Genomic DNA, 23,809 nt, shown 5'->3' on the forward strand with positions numbered 1-23,809 from the left:
GTACAATAATTTTTTCTTAATTTAAATCATGAGGATGTTGTAGGGGTTAAATGAGTTCATAAATGTAGCAGGCAAAATAATCCCTCCCCTACATCTAATATGGAAAGGGAGAAAACTAGAATGAACTTTGTTGTATTGGTTTGGAATTGGAGTTATCAATGTGACTCACAATTTTCAATATAAATAGCAACTGAAGCAAGTATATACGTAATATACATTTCTTCGCTTCATTGGCTGTAAGCACCCATGGTGATGAGCATACCTAGAACCCAGGTCTTGGTTTCTAATACTATTCCCAGCTAAAAGGAGCCAGGACACTCCTTGGAGGACTTGCTGATTCCAAGGCTGGGGCAGGGAAAGCACAAGATGAACCTGGAACATCTTGTGCCAAAAGCATGGAAGTACTCAGAGAATAATGAGAATATGTCAAAGCCAGCTCAAGGGAAATGCTACTGATAAAGGATTGTCAGTAGGATCCCCCTTAAGGATTTTATTAACAGGTTACAATCTATTAATAGATTCTATTATATATATTAATTATAATTTAATATAATTTATTTACATTATTATATAATATAATTATAATGTAATATGTAACTTTATAATTAATAGTTATATTAATTATAATATAAATAGTTACATATTACATTACAATTATATAATAATATAAATATTTAAATTACATTAAATTATAATATAATATACATAAGAGAATCTATTAATAGATTATAACCCATGAATAAAATCCTTACAGAGATAATAAAGAATGCATTGAAAGTTTGATGAGGAACAGGGTATGTACATAGTTTCAAAATACCTCCTCACAAATTATTTATTAAGTATGAAGAAAAAATAGCTTTACAGGAAAAGTCTTTCTGGTTCCACCTTAATCAAGTGATCCAAGTGAGTACCATCAGGAGGGAGACAAATAAAAATGGCGTGGTACCTGATTAGCTTCGTTGAAAGGAACACAGCCTCACTTCACTTGTATGATCTTCCTGAATAAAAGAATGAGGAAACACTGGACAAATTCAAATTGAGGAATAGTCTATGAAATAACTGGCCTGTAGTCTTCAGAACTGTCAAGGTCATGAAAGTCAATAGAAATCGAGGATCCTTTCCCAATTGAAGAAGGTTAAAGAGACACGGCAGCTAATTACAATCTATGATTCGTAACTGGATTTTTAGGATAAAGAACAATATTGGCACAACTTTTAAAGTTGGAATGGGGCCTGAGGATTAGATAGTAGTAATGTACTAGTGTGAATTTTCTCCTTTTGATGATTATATTCTGGTTATATAGGAGTCCTCATTTTTGGGAAATATACATCTGAATCCCTGGAACCTGTAAATATATCACCTTATTGGCAAAGAGACTTTGCTGATGCAATTATCTCTGATTTTGAGACAGGAGATTCAAATGGATTATTCAGGTGTAATTACAAGGGAAGTGGGAGTGTCAGGGTCAGAGAGGGGGGTCAGAGTGTCAGGGTCAGAGTGATAGAAGCAGAGGTTGGAGTAATGTGATTGCTGGAGGGGGGCCTGAACCACGGAATCTGGGCTGCCTCTAGAAGCTGGAAAACGGAAGCAACAGATGCTCCCCGGCAGCCTTCTGAAAGAACACAGCCCTGCTGACACCTTAACTTTAGTCCAGTAAGACCCATTTTGGAGTTTTGGCCACCAGAACAGTAGGAGAACACATTTGTGTTTTTTAAAGCCATTTAGAACAGTACTTGGCAAGTACTGTTACAAGTAATTAGCACAAACATTGGTTTACCGTTATTATTGTTGTTGTTATTAAGTTTTTTTAAAGCATCCAACTTAGTTTTCATAGAAACAAGGACTCTGTTTTTGTACTTGTTGATTGACATAATATTTGATAACATTACATATCTACAATACAGGTGGCATAAGCAGACTCTTTGTAAGTGCACAGCCTATCCTGGCTCTCTGTTCTGTTTCTACTCTGCGCTGGATCTTCCGAGGATGACCAGATGGACCGTGTAATGGGCCTTCTTGCCCTCTGTTGTAGTCCCTCCAATGTGGTCTAGGATCCCTCTTAGGAGAGTGACTAGGAACTCGGTCCCTGTCCTGACAGGTCTTCAGGGGAGGTGGTTGTGGACGTTTACAGTGTGCCTTTCACGGGATACTTTATCCTGGCAGTCAGCGTGATTCCTAAGCGCCTGGCCCCTGACCAGGTGTTCTTCTCACAGGAAATGTGTTTATTCTGGCAGACGCCCTTGTGGCTCTTGTCTGGTCTGTGTCCAGTTTGTTTTTACCAAGATGGCCACTCCATAGGAGAGCCCTGACCCGGAAAGACATTATGTTCTCGTGTGTCGGTCAGGTGAGACGCAGAGGAGGCAGCACAACAAAACGCATGAAATATCAGAAGTATTTTTCGTTATTTACAGTTCATAGAAGAGGGCAGCACACTTCTCAGGGCCAACAGGAAGTGGGGAGCCATTAGGAACAAGAGTGTTCAACCAGTGAGTGGGAAGCAAGAGAGACAGGCGGAGGGAGACAGAGAGGAACTTACAGGTTGAAACTTTTCTTGGGGTCCAGGGCGTTACCCTAGCAGGTTCTAATTGGTGGATTTAGAGCAAGCAGGCATGAGTTCCGTGGAGGAGTCACACAGTGACTGAGAAGTCGTCACTGCGGCATATCTGCAGTTTGTGCAGGGCGTGGGGGCCAGTGGAGCAAGTCAAACGGGTTGTATCTAGCTGTGCCGTAAGAAGGAGATCACCAAGAGGTGGCAGTGTAAGAGAGGTATCTGGATCAACCACATGGAGAAAGAGGAGGTGGAGAACTGTGTCCAAGCCCTGCCTTCAGTATGAGAAAGTTAAACCTAGATTCAAAATGGATACTGAGGCAAAATAAAATGGGATGTACTGCAGCCTCTGGCTTCAGTTGTCGTCTACAGAGATGCTGGGCAGGAGATCAAGGGACGCAGGAGAGAGAAGTCAGGTGTTTGTCTCCAGCCCCACTCTCCTGGCCACAGTGGCTGTGTTCCTCTTCTAGCCATGCCATAGGGAGGTCCCTTTCCTGCCCCTTTCATGGTGGTTGAAGTGTGATCTGCATTAGAATCACCCACAGAACTTTTCAAAATGCAGACCCCCAAGGCTCTGTCCCGAGAATCACTGCCTCACTTTCCAGGGGTGGGGCCCCAAGTGTGTATAAAGCCATGGCTCCTATTGAGTAGCCCTCTTCATGGCTCCCCACTAGTCTCTGGTAACCTCTCCTTGCTTTTGACCCCTCAGGCCTGGCAGTGGTAACAGTTCCCTGTTGTTGCTAGTCCCTGGTGCTTCATCATCCTTTATTGACAATGCCTTTGCAAATTCATCGAATTCTCCTCCTCAGTTACCCCTACGGTGTGTACTGTCCTGTGTGAATCATGATGGATACAGTAAGTACACATACATTTCCATGGCAGGGCTCAGAAATTTCCTGGGGTTACTATAAGGCCCCTGAGTGGCTTGGTAGCCATGAATGGTCAGCACATCTTGGGCACAGAGGGAGCATGGAAAGCGCTGGTCTACCTGGTGAGCCTTGTCAATGTCTTCCAGCCAATGGCCATCAGGAGCACACCTGTAGCTAAACTAGTTGGATGAATTACTTGTTGCAGTGAGGGAGAAAGCAACCACAGAAATTATAGGGGCATCTCAGTGAGAGAGTGTTAGAAAAGACAGTATAGGATTTGGGCTTGGGTTCAGTGATTTTGGGGAGGATTCAGGAAGTAGGGCTTTGCTCTGGATTGGATGCTGTGAGGAAGCATGAATAACTCTATGATTATGCATGTCAGTAAATCTATAGGCAGGCCAGAATAGAACAAGGATAGATCTATCATTGGCAAAGTAGCGGCAGTCACTCATGTTAGACGGGAGAGGGAGATGTTTGGTGTTTTGTGCTTTGGGCATTGTTCTTGTTTTTGTCTGAGTTCAGATATGGTTATAAGTGGTCTTGTTTTTGTCTTGATTCATCATGGTCAGAATGGCCTTGTCTGATGGCCTTGTTCTATGAAATTGTCTAGTTCACCAAGGCCTACCTGTCAGTGCCAGGCCAGCATCTATCAACACCAAGGTCCAGCTGGGTGTCAGGAGCTGCTTTTCTCTTTCTCAACCCCTTTCATGGAGATTGAAGTATGATCTGCATTAGAATCAGCTGCAGAGCTTTTCAAAATATAGACCCTCCAAGACCCTGCCCGTAGAATCCCTGCATCAGTTTCTAGGGATGGGGCCCGGAGTCTGTATTTTGAATCAGCATGCTGAAGCATTCTGATGCACAGCAGAGTTTGAAGGCCACGGTCTAAAATAGAGACGTCACCAACCCAGTTTCACAAACCTAGATTTGTGGCAAACATTCACGGTGTGAATTTTTAAGCACTGAGCTGTTGGTTTAAATTTCCATTAGTGTCAAGTTTCAGCACTTGCATGTTATAGAATTTTAACTCAGTGGAATCAGCCTTTGAATTTACAAGGTTATCTGTGCTTATATCTTTTGTGTCGGTGTTAGAAAAACCTCAATGAAGGGGGTCAACCTGTAAATGATAGAAGGGGCTGGTCATCTATTACCATAAATCAATAAAACATAGACACCAGTAGAAAGACTGCTGCCAAACAGAGAAAGAGAGAGTAAGAGGGAACATGAAAGGGAGAGCAAGAGAGAAAGAAACAATGAGAAATTGCTTCCAGATTCAGTGAGAACATTTGCCAAGGTGAACCAAAATTCCAGAGATAGAGCTTGTCAAACATGCATGACTGAACTCTCATTTAAGAAGACAAACTATAGATCAGAAACTAGAGGCCTTAACTTAAAAATGTCTAGTGAGATCACTGTGGATAAAAATACAAACATATTTTTCTTTTTCTTTTTCTTTTTTGAGACGGAGTCTCAGTCTGTCACCCAGGCTGGAGTGCAGTGGCACGATCTCGGCTCACTGCAACCTCCGCCTCCTGAGTTCACGCCATTCTTCTGCCTCACCCTCCCGAATAGCTGGGACTACAGGTGCCCACCACCACGCCCTGCTAATTTTTTATATTTTTGGCAGAGATGGGGTTTCACCGTGTTAGCCAGGATGGTCTTGATCTCCTGACCTCGTGATCCGCCCGCCTCGGCCTCCCAAAGTGCTGGGATTACAGGCGTGAGCCACTGGGCCCGGCCTACAAGCATCTTCTTCAAAGGAAAATCCTCAAGAAAGAATGTAAAGAAAGCAGAAATGAAGAAGTTAATTTATTATAAATTCACAACGAGAAGAATAGTTGGCATTTTCAAGTGTCAAGAGATGCAGCACCAAAAGTGTAATAAGACAGAGCCTAATAATGAACTTGATATTGAACCTGATTTTGAGGGACTAGTGAAAATCAGCTCTTTATGATAACAAGAGCAAGGAAACTTGAGGCACAGACATCATCACCAAGTGTAGTTTAATACACCTTTTTTTTCCCCATTGAATTTTCCTGCTTTTCAGATGTGCAAGAACTGAGCCCGCTATAATCAAATAACCCCACCAAAGCTTTCCTAACAGGAATTCATGTAATGAGTCTTTTTAGCCTGAATAATGCGTTTTGCCTTAAAGTCTATTTTGTCCGCAATCTCCACAGGCAGAGAGTCTGCGTCTATAGCTCATTACCATCATTCTGATGATAATGTTACGTCTCATCAATTACTTGGGAGCAAGGTCAAATTTAGCAGCCAAATCTCCCCTTTAGCGAGGCCATCAAGAGCGTATCTATCACTACCCCCTCTCAAGATCTATTCCCCTGCAAAAAGCCTCAGTGCTCATGTTCTCTGTCTCTCTCTCTTCATCTCTCCCTCCCTCTCCTCTCTCTCTCTCTCTACCCCCTTATCCTGTCACAGTAGTACCAGTTACAAAATCCTGCCCGATTTAATCCCTGATAAATCTATTCGTTTTTATTTTTATTTTAGAAAGCACAAGCAAGAATGTGTGAGAAGATCACAGAGACCTAAAGAAGGGGAAGGGAAGAACCCACATGTGAGAGAGAAGAGATTGTCTGACTTGGTAAATAGATATTGAAAACCAGAGGTGTGTGGTTCTCTTAGAATTTGAGTCCATGGGAGGGACTTTTACAATTGAGATTGTGATTGTATAACTCATGCTGCTGAGATTTATTTTGGTCTAGCCAAGCAAGATAAATAAATAAATAAATAAATAAATAAATAAATAAATAACCCCCACACACCCAAAAAGACAAAACATTAAAAAAGTTATATTTCCAGAATTTGGCTTTGTTATAGAGCTGTCAGCCAATCCGAAGTTATCAAAACTGATTTTAGTTTTGTAAGAAACTTACCTGGAAAGTCTACCATGGGGCATGAATCTTTGACAATTGCTCAGGTTTTATATTTCTTTATGAAATTTCAGCTCGATTCCACAATTCATTTACTAAATTTGCTTCCTAGAATCAGTAAGCAAAAACTCAACTTCATAAACACAGCTGTACTTGGCAAACAAACTTAATGAGATGAAAAAGGATCTATTTAATCACTTCCCAGAATGTATTTATAAATTAACCTTGCTTCTGAATAGTTAGGATTACATCAATCCAACAACTACTCTCTCTCTCTCTTTTTTTTTTTTTTTTTTGAGATGGAGTCTCACTCTGTTGCCAGGCTGGAGTGCAGTGGTGCAATCTTGGCTCATTGCGATCTCTGACTCCCTGGCTCAAGCGATTCTCTTGCCTCAGCCTCCTGAGTAGCTGGAATTACAGGCACGCACCACCATGCCCAGCTAATTTTTGTATTTTTAGTACAGATGGGGTTTCACCATGTTGGCCAGGATGGTCTCAGTCTCCTGACTTTGTGATCTGCTCGCCTTGGCCTGCCAGAGTGCTAGGATTACAGGTGTGAGCCACCACGCCTGGCCAACCACTCTCTTAAATCTAATCTTTGTGTGTGGATGTGAGGTAGTAAGCCTTGTGAAAATGCAAAACTCATAGAAGATGTAGCACTTTAGGTAGGTTGCCACCACCTCTGAATTTCTTTATATATTTTTAGTCTATGCTGTTAAGTATATATATATTCAAAAATATACATCTTCCTGTTAAATGCTTTTCTAAGACCCTTTTTATCCATCAAAATGTGTTTTGCTTTAAAAACTAATTTGTTTGATAAATATAAACACAATAGCTTTCTTTTGATGAGAATTGTTGTAATGAATTTTTCTCATCCCTTAACTTTTAATCTTCTGTGCCATTATGTTTTAGATATGTCTCTTTTACACAATTGGATTTTAACAGCCAATCTAAGCATCTCTGTGATCTGATTATTGGCTTTAGTCCATTTATATTTATTGTGATTGTATACATTTGGTTTTATTTCTACCATATTATTTTCTGCTTTTAACCTGCCATGTTTCACTTTGCTTATTTCCCATCCCACATGAAGTATTCCTGTTATATTTGTTTCATATCGTGTGTACCGGACCTTTACAGTCTATCCACCATGTTTCTTAACTAATCATTTTTATTTTCTGTCATTGTATCTTACTGTCACTCACAGTGACCCACTTGTGGAATTTGTGCTTCCCATTCTTACAACTTTAGGCTGTGTGGTAAAAGTTCTGATTCCCAGTGGATGAATGCTGCCACTGGGGGATATGATGAGAATCCCATTTTACTTTAAACTATGTGGCTGCCAACAGGTCTCTTAGGGCTCCTCATCTCAAGAAGCCAGCAGGCAAGGGAAGGACAAACCATCCTTGCAGGAATAATTCGTACTGATCATTTGGAGGAGATTCGGCTAGTATAGCTGCTGTTACATAATGAAGAAAAGGAAGAATATGTTTCAAACTCAGATGAACCACTGGGGAGTCTCTTGATACTCTGTTGCCTAATTTGGATGGTTAATGGGTAAGTGCAATAGACACAGCCTCAGAAAGGCGTGGTAATCAGAGACTTAAATCCTCAGTTTCCATAGTTAAGCTACTAAGATCATGAGAGGTGCTTCCTAGGAGTGAAGAGAATCGGAATGTCTAGGAAGGACATCATGAAAACTAGTTGTGCTCTTAAACCTAACTACAGTTGATCCTCAAGGACTTGAGAGTTAGGAGCTCTGACCTCTGAGTAGGCAAAAATTCACATATAACTTTTGGCTTTCCAAAACCTTAACTCATAATAGACTACTGTAGAGAAGGTTTACCTATAATGTAAACAGTTGATTAACACATATGTTACGTTATATGCACTGTATTCTTATAACAAAGCAAGCTACGGAAAAGAAAATGTTATTAAGAAAATCATGAAGAAAAGAAAATACATTTACAGCTCATTAAGTAGAAGTGGATCATCATAAAGGCCTTCAGCCTTGTCATCTTCATGCTAAGTGGGCTGAGGAGGAGAAGGAAGAAGAGGAGTTGATCTTGCTGTCTTAAAGGTGACAGAAGTGGAGGAAAAGCCACACGAATTGGCCCTGCACATTTCAGACCTGTGTTGTTCAAGAGTCAACAGCAGTTGCAGCAGCAGGAATAGCTAACTTTCTCCACTAACTCCTTACATAAATTTCTCCAGGAATTAAGACCAACCGGAAACCTATTGATGCTCTTCCCAGATGGTTCAAACTTACCACAAAATGCAAATGTAAATGGATCTGGCTAGTTCAAGAGGGCAGTCTGCAGTGGATGTTGTTCCTTGCTGCTTGGAGTCCCCAACTCCTAGACCCCTTTCAGGACCAAGGCACTCATTTCCCCACTGCTGTGTGCATTGGCTGCTGATAGCCCACTTCTGCCTCCCTCTGGAAATTGTCTTTGGCCAAAAGGGGCTATCTTTCCCAAGTTGTTGACCTCTTTCCAGGGGCAACTTGCATTCAATAACTGGCTAATGTTGAGGTACAAAAGCCCAGTCTAATTGTTTCAATTTGGGATGATTCTTAAGGTCCATCCCAGCTCCACAGATCCTTGAAGGATCAACTGAGGTCTCTGTTGCAACTGTATCACTGTATCGTCTTGTTACTAATCCCATTTCTTTCATGTCCTCAAGGTGTTGCGCCTTAAAGCACTATCCAATAAACCTCCTACATGCAAATCTCCATCTCAGAATCTGTATCCAAGAGATTCTACTCAAGACATCATCTTTTCCAGGTGATACTTCTTTTAGTGTAGATTACAGGGTTTCTATCCTAGATTTTTTTTTTTTGCCTATATCTTGGATTATAAACTCACCTTCAATAGAAAGCTTCCTACAAAAATTCTTTGTAGCCTAGACTGTGGAAGTGTCACTTCACAGTGATTTCCTATTCACTTCTACCAGGTACTCCAATGATATGACTGTCCTAGGATTAATTTTTATGTAAATTTATCATCTTGACAGTTTCTAAATCACTACAGAAGTTTACATTCTAACTTTAACACAGCATGAGGCAAAGGCGTGATATTTTTATTTCTCTGGGAATGAGTTTTTTTCTTTTTCGTAGTTCCGAACACCAAATTTCATCCTCTGCCTGTTAAGGTGGGCAGATTTTTTCCCTATGCCCCTAATTACTGAGGCTATATCCCTTTGAGCATCCCAGCTTCATGAAGGGGTATTAGTTCCCAGTCAGTGTCTCATAGGACCCACATCCTCATATCTTGGCCTGATCGTATGTTAAAGCCCAAACTACTAGCTATTACTGAATTTGATAACCACCCATAGGGAAGCTTCGGGATCAGATTCTAAGCTTATAGCTCTTAATTTCAGACATCTTGAGATTTCCATTTATTTCTTGCAAGTTGATATGCATTAATATCATTTTTAACATATTGCCAGAATCTGAAATTACTGCAGAGTAGCTGAATGTTTCCTTGAGCTATGTTTTAGCAAGGAATGGAAATCATGAAAATACTGACCCTGGAACTGAAGTAGGAGAAATAACAGACTGAGAAGGAAATGAAAGAAATTGAAACTGTCCCTTTCATTTCCAGGACAAGCCCTGATAGGCTAGGTATTCATCTGAAAGAAGCTGATCTAGAATCCTAGTGGCCCTCATTTGTCTCCTTCATGGGACTGTGAGTTCTTGAGGGCAGAAACTGTGTCTTGTTTGCTGCTGTATCCCTTGAATCCCTGGAATCATGCTTAGCACATAGTAAATGTTCAGTAGACACTTGCTGACTGAATGAGTCAGCAATAAAGCAGAGCTGTGCCAAATGACCAGATATTAAAAAACAAGAAGCAAGAATATAGCATAACATTACATTAACACAAGTCTAAGGAGAACAATAAAAATTAGTAGAAAAGGAAAATGGTAATTGAATTATCATATTTATTTGTTCCCTTATTGCTCCAACAAATATTTATTGATTATCTATTATTGAACCTGGCATGGGGAATATGATGGCCAGCAAAAAGAAGGACATGGTCCCCCCCCATGTAGAAATGTCAGGGGAGGCAGACCTTAAATGAATATACTAATGAACATAAAAATAATAGAATGACCAAATCTTCTGTTATCCCAGAACAATCTCTGTTTATACCTATTGTCTCACTGTAATTATTAATAGCATCCTCATTCACTCTAAAACGTATCCCAGTTGGATGGTCATCTTGGCTATGACTGAGAGGTACATGGTATTAGAAAAGCGTAAAAAAGGGAGCGTTGCCTGCTCAGAGAGAAGAAGAAATGCTTCTTTGGAAGAGGCAAGACTGAGCTGAAAAATGGAGGATGGAACACATGGGGTATGTGATTGTGTAGGAGTGCCAGTGGGGAGACCCTGACAGCCATAGAGAACAGCAGGCGCAAAGCAAGCCACATTCAAGGAATAACAGAAGGCCTGTCTTGCTAGGTTATCACAGGCAAGAGGTATCCTACAGAGGTAGAAGACCCAGACCATTCAGGCCTTGTGGGCATCTTATGAATTTTGGAATTACCTCTTCATCATTTAATAAAAAATGGAGGTGGGAGAGATGGGAAATTTAGCATTTTGAAAAGATTCCCTTTGACTGCTGTATGGAGAACAGATTTAAGAAAGCCCACAAAGCTAGTTAGAAGGTTACAGTACTAAAGCAATTACGAGATGATAGCTTGAAATAGAATGGTGATAGAGATAAAAGAAGTGGATTTGGAATGACTCTAGAGGGCAAAATGACCAGAACTTGGAAATAGATTGGCTATAAGGAGGGAGAAATAGAAAAGTATGTAGAAGAGATATGTGGCTTACACACCTGGGTGGAGAGTGATGCAATTCACTGAGCGAAGCAATGCAGCTGCAGATGTGCAGATGTAGCACATCTATCTATCCATCCATGCATTTGTCTCTTTAGGAAACCATCATTCCTTGACACCTGGTATATGGCAGGTACTGTAGGTAATCACAAATACGTTTACTATGAAATAAGGAGTAAAAGCCTACAAATATGTATTTTATCAGTTATCATATTTTCAGCTGCAAGTAATAGAAAACTCAATTCAAAATTGCTTAAACAATGAGAACTTTTTTAAGTCCTAAAATGGAAAGTCCTAGCTTTGTTGATTCAGTGGCCCTAATGACATCAAGGATGTTCATTCTTTCAGTCTTTCTACTCTGCCGTTGTTACTCAATTGACTTTTCCTGGATTAGTTCCAAGCACATGATAGCATTCAGCAGCAAAATGATGATTTTTTCCCCATGTATTTCTTTTTCAAAACTAGGAAACCTTCCCTAGAAACCTCTCAATAAGTTTCTCTTCATATCGTAGTGCATGGAATGGTATCACAAGCTTATTCCTATGCAAGGGACTGGCTAGAGGAATAGAATTTCCATGACTTGTCCAGTGAAGCCCAGGGCCAGGTGGAAAAAGATGACTTGCCAAACAAATTTGGGGGTTTATTTACCAAAAGAAAGGATAAATTGTATGTTGGGTGCAACCTAGATGGTGTCTGCTATATCTATGGAGCAAGGAAGTATATAGTATTGTATTAGGAGTAAACAGAGTAGTTTAGGAGATGGAATAAGAAGAAGTCACCTTGGAGATTGGAGGAGAAGAAATATTTCCAAGGCTGGGAAAGATTATTAGGTTTATGTCACTCTGAAGGCAAAATCTGAAGTCTAAGATTACAGCAGCACTTAAAAGAATACTAGCATAAATCCATCTTCACCCATTGATTCTCCTGATTTCAGGCATCCTTACCAGTTTCCTGAATTCTTCCGAAGTCACATAAATATTGTTTCTTATTGTTTCTAAGCTTCACTGAACTGAAAGAAGAATGGTTGAATGGGGTTTTGCATAAAATACTAGAAATATTTGTTACTTAGCTCTGGCTCAATCCAAGCCTGACCTGTTTCTGTCATTACTGCCAGAATAATTTCTCCAGCTCTTGCCAGATTTGTAGTTGTCAGGATAATAATTTATCCATCTTGTTGTCAGATTCACAGCTAGTTTGCCTGACTCTAGGGGAATCTAAATGACTATCACTAGACATGGTGTGCAACTTATATTTTAAATGCATTTGATTCCAGACATTCTCCCACTGCCACACTCCAAATCCAGAGACTTACAAAACTACTCTTGCAATACCATTTTTTCCCATTCTAGAAAGTGCCACCACGCCCAAAGATCAGTTTTCCTCCAGTTTTCTTTAAATGCTCACTAAAATGACTGACAATATTCACTGAACACAGTTACTAAATCAGTCCCCCAGGTCTCTAGGCCCAGAGCTCTTCCCTACTTCCACATTTCTTCCATCCTTACTTCCCCGCCTAACCACTCTCAAATCATTCCTGTTCTCCAAAAGAGTCTTGATTTCCCAGATTGGCATATTACCTTCTTATTTTGCAAAAGACCAATTTTGAAGCTTCTCATTTTAAAGACAAAAAGTCTCCATATTTGCTTTCAAGGACAACCAGAAGTTACTCAGCATGTTTCTTAATTCATCCCCTTCAGCTTCCCCTTTTACAATGGGTCCTTTTCAAGATGTTAACTACAAGTATTAAATTACCCTCCTGACGTATGTATCCTTTTCCTCTTCCTCCAAGGAATGCTTGGAAAGGAATCCAATTGTGGGCAGATGTTAGGTTTTTCTCAAAAGCACTCTCTGTCAAATAACAAGACACAGTTATAGTTCAAATAAAAATACTAATAGTGATTTGCATGATAAGCAAGAGTGCTGATTACTGGCTTTGAAAGCATATCATAATGGCTTTTTACAATTATACTTATACTCTATTATTCTTCCTTTCTTATTCTCTAGTCAGTGTTCCTAATTGCACTGCCCCTGGAAAACGCACGGAGAAGAAATACAGCAAAATACATGAGATGGTGAAACACTCTGGCAACTGCAAGCGGACAGATGGGATCTGGGAGGTAATGCAGGGTCACAGGGCAGTTACACCAGGATATTTGGTTCTTTCCTACTCTCCTTTCCCCACCCTCAATGCTATATACATAACTGCTAGTGAATCAATTTATGTACATATCCCAGATATCTAGGACTGGTTGAGGCGGGTTATCCAAGAGAGTCACAGTGTATTACCATTTTTTATTAAGTACAACCAGACCAACAGAGAACTGATTAACTCAACCACTGAACTTTATGTTTTCCCCCATCATCTATAGAATTGATTTTACTGGATTTTGACATGTCAGTTTATCACTTACTTTATCCTTCAGTGAAGGACACACTAAGGAATGGAGTTATTAAGCTTGTTCTACTGGCTGTGAGGATGTTGTTGAGGGACATTGTTCATGACGTTATGTTGTGTCATTTTTATGAGGACTCAATGGAAGGACTTCTGTCTGATTTCAGTACTGGAAGTAGTCATACTTCTCCTGAGCAACCATTTTCTTTCTCCGTTATAAAAATCTCATTGTCTCTGTGAATCATGTCACTGATCATTTTTCTTAGGACCTTAAGGTGTGTGTGTGTGTGTGTGTGTGTGTGTGTGTGTGAATAGGATCATTCATTACTCCACCCTATTTTTCCCTATACTTACTTTATACTGTTCCAAGTGTATTTATTTTTTTACCCAACAGAAATTTATTTCTGGTTCACATATTTGCTGAATGCAGGTATTTTGCAGGTGACATTCTGTGAGGTAATTTGGGGCCCCACAATCTTTTACCTTTTTTTACATTTTTAATTTTTATGGATACATAACTGTTGCACATATTTATAGAGTACATATAATATTTTGATACAATCATACAATGGGTCATGATCAAGTCAGGGTAATTGGGACATCTTCACCTAAAACATTGATCATTTCTTTGTTTTGGGAACATTCCAATTCTACTTTTCTAGTTATTTTGAAATATACAATAAATTATTACTAACTATAGTCACCCTATTGTGCTATTGAACCCTAGATCTTATTCCTTCTATCTACTTGTATTTTTGTATCCATGAACCAGCCCGTCTCTATTGCCCCTCACCACCACCCTTCTCAGACTCTGGCACCATCATTGTACTCTTGATCTCCATGAAATCAGCCTTTTTAGCTCGTATATATGAGTGAGAACCTGTGATATTTGTCTCCCTGTCTTTCACCTGATGGATCTACCATCCTCTAGGGACTCCCATCTTCTGCATGGCATCAGCACAAGGGTGAAGAGGGAAGATAAAGGATCATGCAGGGAGTTTCATGGACTAGGCCTGGAAGTGCCATATTCCACTGCTGCTTGTGTTCCAGAAGGCAGCCGCACAGCCACAAGGGATTGTAAAGGAAGCTGAAAAATATGATCGAGCATTGTGTCTGGGAAGAGAGGGAAATGGGTATGGTGCATGACTAACCAGTGTTTGTCACAGCACAGAAAGTAAGGTATAAAGGAAACAACTCACTCTGTATTCCCTAAGACAGTTGTGCTAATAGCATTAGCAGAATTGTTAATGTTAGCAGAAATAACAGTTAATTGTTCAGGTGTAGAACCCCCAGGGTGAGCTGGGAATTCTCTCTTGAATGACAGTCTTCCATTTTGTCTCTTCTTCTTAGTCTTTTCTGCCATTGCCTTTGTTCAGATCTTTTCTACCTTGTGTCCAGCTTGCTGGAACCTCCACCTTCCTGGCCTGAAAGAACTAGCTTGTGAACATGTATCATGTTTGCTTTCTTCTGCAAGTTGGCTCATACATTTTATTATTACCTAATGCTGCGTAAAAACTCATTCCAAAACTCAGTGGCTTAAAACAGCAGTAAATTTTTATATCTCTCCTGGTTTCTGTGGGTCAGGAATTTGGGGAGCAGCTTAGCTGGGTGGTTTTGGTTTGGGGTTTCTCTTGGGGTTGAACTGAGATATCTGCTGGGCTCTGCAGTCATCTGAAAACTTACTGGGGGCTCAAGGTGGTTCACACATGTGGATGGCAAGTTGGTACTGGCTGTTGGCAAGATGTCTCAGTATCTCTCTAAGCAGGCCTCTCTTCACGGCTGCTTGAGTGACTTCATGGAATGGTGGCTGAATTCTCCCAGAATAAATGATTCAAGAGCCAAGGTAAAGCCATATGCCCTTTATAACCGGGCCTCGGAAATCCCTCACTGTCACCTCTGCCATACTCTACTGTTCATGTGAATGACCCTGATTCAGTGTGGGAAGAGACTATGCAGGGCATAATACCAGAAGGCAAAAATCACTGGGGGCAATTTGGGAGGCTGGCCACCACACAGACTGCATTTCAACTATGCACCTCCCTCAATCTCAACTTTTTCCATACTCTCTCACTTTCTCTTCCACTTTCTGTATTCAGATCAAAGCCCATCGCTTCATGAAGTATGCCCTGACCACTCAGCAACTAGCACTCCCATTGCAATTCATTGTTCTTGCCACATATATGGTCTTTATAATTTAACACCCTGCTTTGAAGATGTACACGTGTGTCTTTTCTTTCAGATGGAATTTAAAGAATCGTACACTATACTCCCTGTCATATAGTAGGCACTCAATAAATATTTTTTCTACGGATGAATGAATGAGTGAATGAAGAGTACAAGCCAGAATCCCTGTGTCCCTACCTGTGGGCTTTTCCCTTGCTGCTTGACCTTAGTGAAGTCACTCCACCTCTCAGTCTGCTAACTCCTTCATAAAATGAAGATAATTATACCCACCCCAGCTGTCACAGACATGCTTTGACATTTGAAAGAGGCAGCACTTATAAAAGTGTTTTCGAGTGTATAAAGAACAGGGCAAGGTGGTGTTAGTTACCTGGTTCACAAGTGATGGCTGACATGTATGGCACTGTCATGGGATTCAGATCAGTCAATCCCTCTGACTCCCGCCTCAAGAAACAGTTCACACCTACACCAAGCTACACAAAGAGTCTTTGTTCATTCCAACAGCTGCTCCTTCAGCACGTCATGGTCACGATCAGGAGAGGCCCTGGGCAGAGAGAACTGCCTGGTCCGGGTTGCTAGGCCCCTTCACAGTCACACTCTGGAGATGTCAAAGCCCAAAGGCAAAGTTTATTTCTCTAGTAGAATTCTCAGGTTTCCTTTCCCTTCGTACACTCTGGTTTTATAATGTTTTTATTATAGATAATTGTCTAGGGATAATTTTTTTTTGCATCTAACTCTTTTAAATAAAAATTAACATAAAGTAAATTAGTGTCTTTTTTTGGTGTACAGTTCCATGAATTTTAATCCATGGGTCAATTTATGTAGCTACCGCCAGCACAATCAGGACCCAGAGCAGCTCCATCACCCTCAGCAAAGTCCCACATTCTTTCCTGTTGTAGTCACACCCCTGTCCCCACCCACACTGATGTCAATCACTGATATGTCCTCCATCACAGTTTTGTCTTTTTCAGAATATCACGCACATGCAATCATACAGTATGCACCCTTTAGAAATTTTTTTTTTCACTTGACATACCCTTGAGATTCATCCAAGCCTGTTTCTCTTTATTACAAAGTAATATTCCTTTGTAAGGAAGTACCTCTATTTGTTTATTCACCCACCTGTTGAAGGACATTTGGAGTGGGATTGTTGGCATATATGGTAAATGTATGTTTAACTTTCCAAAATCTGCCAAACTATTTTCCAGAGTGGCTTTAATGTTTTCATTCCCAAAAGCATTGTGTGAGATATCCCAGTTGCTCCTCATCCTCACCAACACTTGGTATTGCATTTGATTTTTGAGCCATTCTTATAGACATGTTGTGGTATGTCATGGGTTTAATTGGCATCTCCCTCAAAAGTAAAGTGTTTGTTCAAGTCTGTGCACACTTTTTAATTGCTTGTTTTCTTATTGTTGAATTTTGAGACTTATTTATGTGTTCTGAATACATGTCCTCTGTCGGATACATGATTTACAAATATTTTCATTCCAATCTGTGAGTTGTCTTTTCATTCTCTCAACAAGGTCTTTGTAGAAAGAAATTTTTAATTTTGATGAAGTTCAATTTATTAATTTTTAATGTTACTGATTATGCTTTTGGTAAGATGTCTAAGAATTCTTTGCCTAACCACAGTTCGTAATACAGAAAAGTTTGTAATATGGGAAAATACAGGCTGCTTTCTCCTACATTTACTTTTAACATTTGTATTTTTTTAATTTTACATTTAGACCTATGATCCATTTGGAGTTAATTTTTGAATAAGGTGTGAGGTTGTGAGAATTTCAAGGTTCTTTTTTCTTTTCATTTTTTTGTATATGGTTGCCCAATAGTTTCAACACTATTTATTGGTTTCAGAAGTTTTCCTCTAGATTTTCTGGGAATTTCCACATAAGCAATCATGTCGTCTGGACTAGAGACAGTTTTATTTATTCCTTTCTAATCTGTATGACTCTTTTTATCTTCTTCTTGATGCATTGAACTAGCTAGGACTTCCAGTACAATTCCAGTAATAAAAGTAATGTAAGTGGAACCGCTTCTCTTGTATCCAGTCTTAAGTGGAGGGCATTCAGTGCTTCACCAATGAGTGTGATGCTAGCTGTATGTTTTTTAATTTTGTAAAGTGCTTTGTCTGCATCAATTAATATGATCATATGTTTTTTCTTCTTTAGACTTTCAGTATGGTGGATTGAATTACAGTTTTAAATTCACAAAGAAAAGGGAACATTTACACACTGTTGGTGGGAGTGTAAATTAGTTCAACCATTGTGGAAAGCAGTGTGACTATTTCTGAAACAGCTAAAAGCAGATCTATCTTTTGACCCAGCAACTCCATTACTGGGTATATACCTAGAGGAATATAAATCATTCTACCATAAAGACACATGCATGCAAATAATCATTGCAGCACTGTTCGCAATGGCAAAGTCATGGAATCAATCGAAATGCCCATCAATGGTAGATTGGATAAAGAAAATGTGATACATATACACCATGGAATACTATGGAGCCATAAGCAATAATGAGATCATGTCTTTTGCAGGAATATGGATGGAGCTGGAGGCTATTATCTTTAGCAAATTAACTCAGGAACAGAAAACCAAATACTGCATTTTCTCAATTGTAAGTGGGAGCTAAGTGATGAGAACTTAACTAACACAAAGATGGGAACAACAGACACTGGGGTCTACTTGAGGGTGAAGGGAGGGAGGAGGGAGAGGAGCAGAAAAGATAACTGTTGGGTACTGGGCTTAATACCTGGGGGATGAAATAATCTGTACAACAAACTCCCGTGATATGAGTTTACCTATGTAACAAATCTTCACATGTACCCCCAAACTTAAAAGTTTTTAAAAAAATTATCAGCTTAGATTAGTGATTTGAGATCTTGCTTCTTTTCCAATATAACCATTTAGATTAGCGATTTGAGATCTTCTTTTCAAATATGACCATTTATTGTATTAAAAGCCTTTTAAATGTTTTGTTTCATTGACAAATTTTGACATGTTGTATTTTTATTTATATTTAGTTAAAAATATTTTACAATTATTCTTGAGATTTCCCCTTTGAATTATGAATAATTTTGAAATGTGTGGTTTAATTTCTCACTGAACAATTTGCTATTCTTGTTCTGTTATTGATTTTGAGTCTAATTCCATACTTTTAAAGACTTCAATTCTTTTAAATTTTTTATTATTTGCTTTATGACAAAAGATATGATTTATTTTGATGAACATTTCATGTGCACGTGAAAAGATTTGTATTTGCTGTTTTTGGTAGAGTAGTCTGTAAGTGTCAGACCTACTTAATGGTGCTGTTCTTTTCTTCCATATCCTGGCTGATCAAATGTCTACTAGTTCTGTTGATACTGAAAAAGAAGTGTTGAAGTCTCCAACTATGATTTTGAATTTGTCTATTTCTGTTTTCAGTTTTGTGAATTTTTGCTTAATCTAATTTGAAACTCTGTTGTTAAATGCAAATACATTAGTTAGATGGTATTTCTTCTTGGTGAATTGATCAATTATAATTATGTAATGTTCCTCTTTATTTCTAGTAAGTTTTTTCCTTTGAAGTCTACTTTGTCTGATATTAATATTGCCCTTTCAGCTGTCTTTTGATTTGTGTGTGCATAATATTTCTCTTTCTGTACTTTTCCTTTTAACATACCTTTATCATTATAGTTAAAATGGATTTTTTGTACGCAGAATATTGTTGGGTCTTTTTTTATGCATTCTGATAATCTCTGCCTTTCTGGGTGTTTTTAGAGCACTTACGTTTAATGTTATTTTATATGTTTTACTTAGGCCTCTTTTAAAAATCATTTTTTAAGTAATTTCTCCATTTCTACCCTAATTTGTGCCGTTTAAACATGTCTTCATTTTATCTTCTGTGTTTTTGGCTATATTTCTTTGTGTCAAATTCTTTTTTTTTTTGAGACAGAGTCTCGCTCTGTCGCCCAGGCTGGAGTGCAGTGGCACAATCTCGGCTCACTGCAACCTCCACCTCCTGGGTTCACGCCATTCTCCTGCCTCAGCCTCCCGAGTAAACTGGGACTACAGGTGCCTACCAACACACCCGGCTAATTTTTTGTATTTTTAGTAGAGACGGGGTTTCACCACGTTAGCCAGGATGGTCTCAATCTCCTGACCTCATGATCCACGTGCCTCAGCCTCCCAAAGTGCTGGGATTACAGGTGTGAGCCAACACGCCCGGCCTCTTTGTGTCAATATTTTAATGGTTGCTCCAGGGATTGCAATACTTAACCTTTCACAGCCTACTTAGAATCAGTATATCTTACCACTTTAAGTGGAATACAGAAACCTTACCACCATATAGGCCCCTTTACCTCCACTCCTATACATTTAGTTGCTTGTGTATTATAGTCACATACAGTCTATATAGTCACATAAAGACTCCAAAGGAATAATAGTCTATGATATTTACATAGATATTTACCACATCTTTTGCTCTTTATTCATTTCTGTTGTTACAAGTTTTCTTATGGTATCATTCCCCTCTCTCTGAAAAATGTCTTTTAGCAATTCTTTTGAGTAGGTCTCCTGGCAACAAATTCTTTCAGTTTTCTTTAATCTGAGTATAACTTTATTTCATATTTATTCCTGAAGCATTTTTCCTGGATATATAATTATTTGTTGAGTATTTATATTTTTCATCACTTGAAAAATTTGTGCCATTTCCTTCTGGCCTCTCGGGTTTTCAGTAAGAAATCTGTCGTCATTTCTCTGGCTCTCTGGAAATTTTCTTTTTGTATCTCGTTTTCAGTGGTTGTATTATGAGATGACTAGGTATGCATGTTTTTAAAATTTGTCCTATTTGGATTTGCTGAGCCTCTTGAATCTGTAGATTTATACCTTTCACTAAATTTTGATGTTTTCAGCTAAATATTTATTCAAATATATATATTTTTTACCATATTCTCTCTCCTCTCCTTCAGAGACTATGATGACAGGAATGTTACACCTTTTAATATTATGCAACAGTTTTGTGTCTATGTTTATTTTTATCCCAATCTTTCTTTCCATTACCATTGTTCAGAGTGGGTAATATATTTTAGTTCACTGACCTTTTCCTCCTTCAATTCCATTCTTCTCTTGAGTCCATTCAGTGAGTTTTGTATGTCAATAATTTTTTCAATAATATCATTTCCATTTGATTTTTTCTTTATGTTTCCTATGTGTTTGAGGCTACTGAAGGTTTCATTCATTTGGGAGTTGGAACATTTTTATGACAGCTGCTTAAAATCTTCATCATCTCATCATTGACATCTATTGATTGCACTTTCCAATGTGAATTGAGTGAGATTTTTCTATTTTTTGTATGTTGAGCAATTTTGGATTATGTCCTGGACATTTTGAGTATCTTGTTATTAGACCCTGGGTCTTATAACATAAATCCTATGGAGAATGTTGATATTTTTGTTTTAGTAAACAATGTTCAAGTTTGGGGTCAGGCAACATAGTCCACATAGTCTCTTTTAGGTATGATTTCAGTGTCAGTTTTGATTTCAAAGCCCTTGCAATGCCACTTAAGTTTGTCTCACATATATGCCATCCAGTGGCCAATTTGAGATCTGGGTGGTGTCTGCCTCATAATTCAGTTCTCCCAGGTTATTTAGGGTATGCTGTTTATGGTCAAATCTACATATTACAACTCAAGAGTGAGCCCAGAGTTCATAAACAACTTTATGAGATAATTTCCCAAGCTTCTTCCCCTATACAATCTCCCTAGCAGTTTCTATTGACCTGCAGATCCCCTTTTCACCTCTCTAGTCAGAATAATGGGGCCTTATTTACCCCACTCCCATTATACTTCTTGCAGTTGTGCACAGGTCCATGGACTAGTGGCTCACAGGCAGATATGGAAAGAAAAGTGACAGTAGTTTTCCAACACCTTCCTGGTGTCACAGATCCACTGACCAGAGAGAAAGGCAACCCTACCTCTGATTTTAGGTTCCTATAGGCTGCTGAGCTGTTGCCACCATGAGATTCCTTGGAGGCTAGGGTATAAGAAAATGGAGACAAGAAAAAAATGGGGGACTATCTTCCTATCTGAGTGTTAGGAGAGCCTTTTCCTGCTCCACAAGCTAGAACTAGCTTGCTGCTCCAGGAGCTGTCTGTGCATACCATTTCCCGGTTTCAGCCTACATGGAATCCAATCTGAGGAATATCAGTGGGAAAAATACGATGCTATAAATTCTGGTGTTCCTTGCCAGTATGCTTGCTCCTATTTACTTTTCTAGTCCTCAGTTCTTTCTACCCATTTTTTTATAGATGTGAGAGAAAGATGCTTACTACATCTTATCCAGAACTGGAGCCATTAGATGTAAATCTTACCCTTCCTATTCCTTTAGATCTCTGGTTTCTATACTCTTTGAGGGTTGGAAGCAAGGCTTATCTTCTCTGCATTTCCCTCTGGGCCTACTGTAGTAATTTGAATGAGATTTTGTGAGTTAAGTATTCAATCAGGGCATATTGGGGGACTTGTATATACAATGTTTGGGACCCCAGCAGGGGTGGCTCAAATGGATGGACATTTTGGGGACCACTTGGCTATGGTCGTGTATCTGAGTCAAGTTCTGGCTGTTGGCTGAATTCCTCTGCTCTTTTCCATTCCAGCCTTTGCCTAGGCTAGAATGTCTGAAATGACTTCGTATGCATCGTTCCTGAAGTAGAATAGGCAAAACAGCTAGGGGATGACTGGCAGCTCACTCTCCATATGATTAGTTTGGGCTTCCTCACAGCATGGCAGTCTCAGAGTCATCAAACTTCTTACAGTAAGTGTATTCTTCAGAGAATCTCACTCATTTATTTTTAGTTTTGTTCTACTTTGTGATGCATATGCATTTTTGTCAGCTACCTTAAATTCACTTTAGAACAAGGTGGGATATAAATATGAAAAACAAGTGAAACAAAAATTACATATCAAGGGAAGACAAAGACATGTATTGTAGTTTTCTTAAAGGAATTTAGAGTCAAGCTGGATAGAAAAATTGTAGTCATTAAAAGTTAGCTAGCTGCAGGAGGTGGAGAACATTTGTTTCCTAAAGAGTTGTGTAGACAAGAAGTGTTATAATTGTTTGCAGGAAGCAGTGAACCCGTTAGGCTTCAAGAATAAACTGGATTTGAGATTTTTTCCTTAATTTTAAAAGATAGATAGGATTTGGGCCAGCTGAGATAATTGGGAAGGATTCAAAAAGGGAAGTGGTTTATTAAAAGGTTGATATGTTAGAAAAGCCCAAGGCATATTTTGGGCCCTGGCAGAAGTGCAGCTTGGCTGGAGAGTCTGTCCAGTGGAACTCTTGAGCAGTGGACTTCTTTTCTTGCCTAAGTATTCATTCACTCATGATCTGGGAACTGGACCTGAGTTTCCTTTTGAGCAACCATCCTCCCACTACTCAAGCTCTGAAGTGAAGCATAGTCTGAGGCCTGGGCTGAAAAGAAGAGAAAATATTGGTTTAGAAATGGAGATATGAGTCCCCCTACGCCAATAATATACCAAGAGAACTTTGCTGAAACTTTCTGCTGTACATGAACCTGAGGGAATACAGAGGTGGGGTCTGCTGCTGTCACCTTGCCACCATGCAAAGCCTGAGATGCTAACTCAGCAAAGGCAGCTGAGGGCACAGACTAGAGATAGAGAGAAACTGAGTCCTGATGGCATAATTTGAGTCCCAAATCCAGCCATACCTGCAGCCTTATTCCAGAATAGTCAGAGACGGGACATTACACAAATATGAAACAAAAATTTGAACCAGGTATCTAAAAAAAGTTAGGAGGAAAACAACCTATAATTAGAGAAAGGGAGAATCATGGGCTTAGGGGCAAATGCCATAAATATTTTCAGGCTTACAAAGTTTTTCAAAACCCAGTACTAGTCCATCATTCCATTTTTGCCTCCCTGGCATTTCTCTTTCCTCACCATATGCTTTACCCATTATGAACGCCAAATTCCATTTTCTAAATATTCTCTGTGCCTTCGTAACTCTGTGCCTTTGCCAATGCTACTCCCTATGTGAAATCACCCTTTCCTTCCTTTTCAATCCGGAGAGCTCTTTCATTATCCCTGAAG

At 39.3% G+C, this 23,809-nt stretch overlaps 1 long non-coding RNA gene across 3 annotated transcripts; it reads left to right on the forward strand.

Annotated features, from left to right (window-relative positions):
- The first annotated feature begins 1,547 nt into the window (after positions 1-1,547).
- Positions 1,548-16,486, forward strand: LOC124900983 (uncharacterized). Of its 3 annotated transcripts, XR_007058783.1 has the most exons (5): positions 1,548-1,653; positions 5,923-6,016; positions 7,658-7,865; positions 13,153-13,265; positions 14,472-16,486. It is a non-coding gene; the product is annotated as an uncharacterized LOC124900983 (long non-coding RNA). The 3 variants fall into 3 exon arrangements; XR_007058782.1 differs by lacking the exon at positions 7,658-7,865 and adding an exon at positions 8,991-9,091 and having other exon boundaries at positions 13,153-16,486; XR_007058784.1 differs by lacking the exon at positions 7,658-7,865 and having other exon boundaries at positions 13,153-16,486.
- The last annotated feature ends 7,323 nt before the right edge of the window (positions 16,487-23,809 follow it).

This window comes from Homo sapiens, chromosome 5, assembly GCF_000001405.40.
Source record: "Homo sapiens chromosome 5, GRCh38.p14 Primary Assembly".
Taxonomy (NCBI): Eukaryota; Metazoa; Chordata; class Mammalia; order Primates; family Hominidae; genus Homo; species Homo sapiens.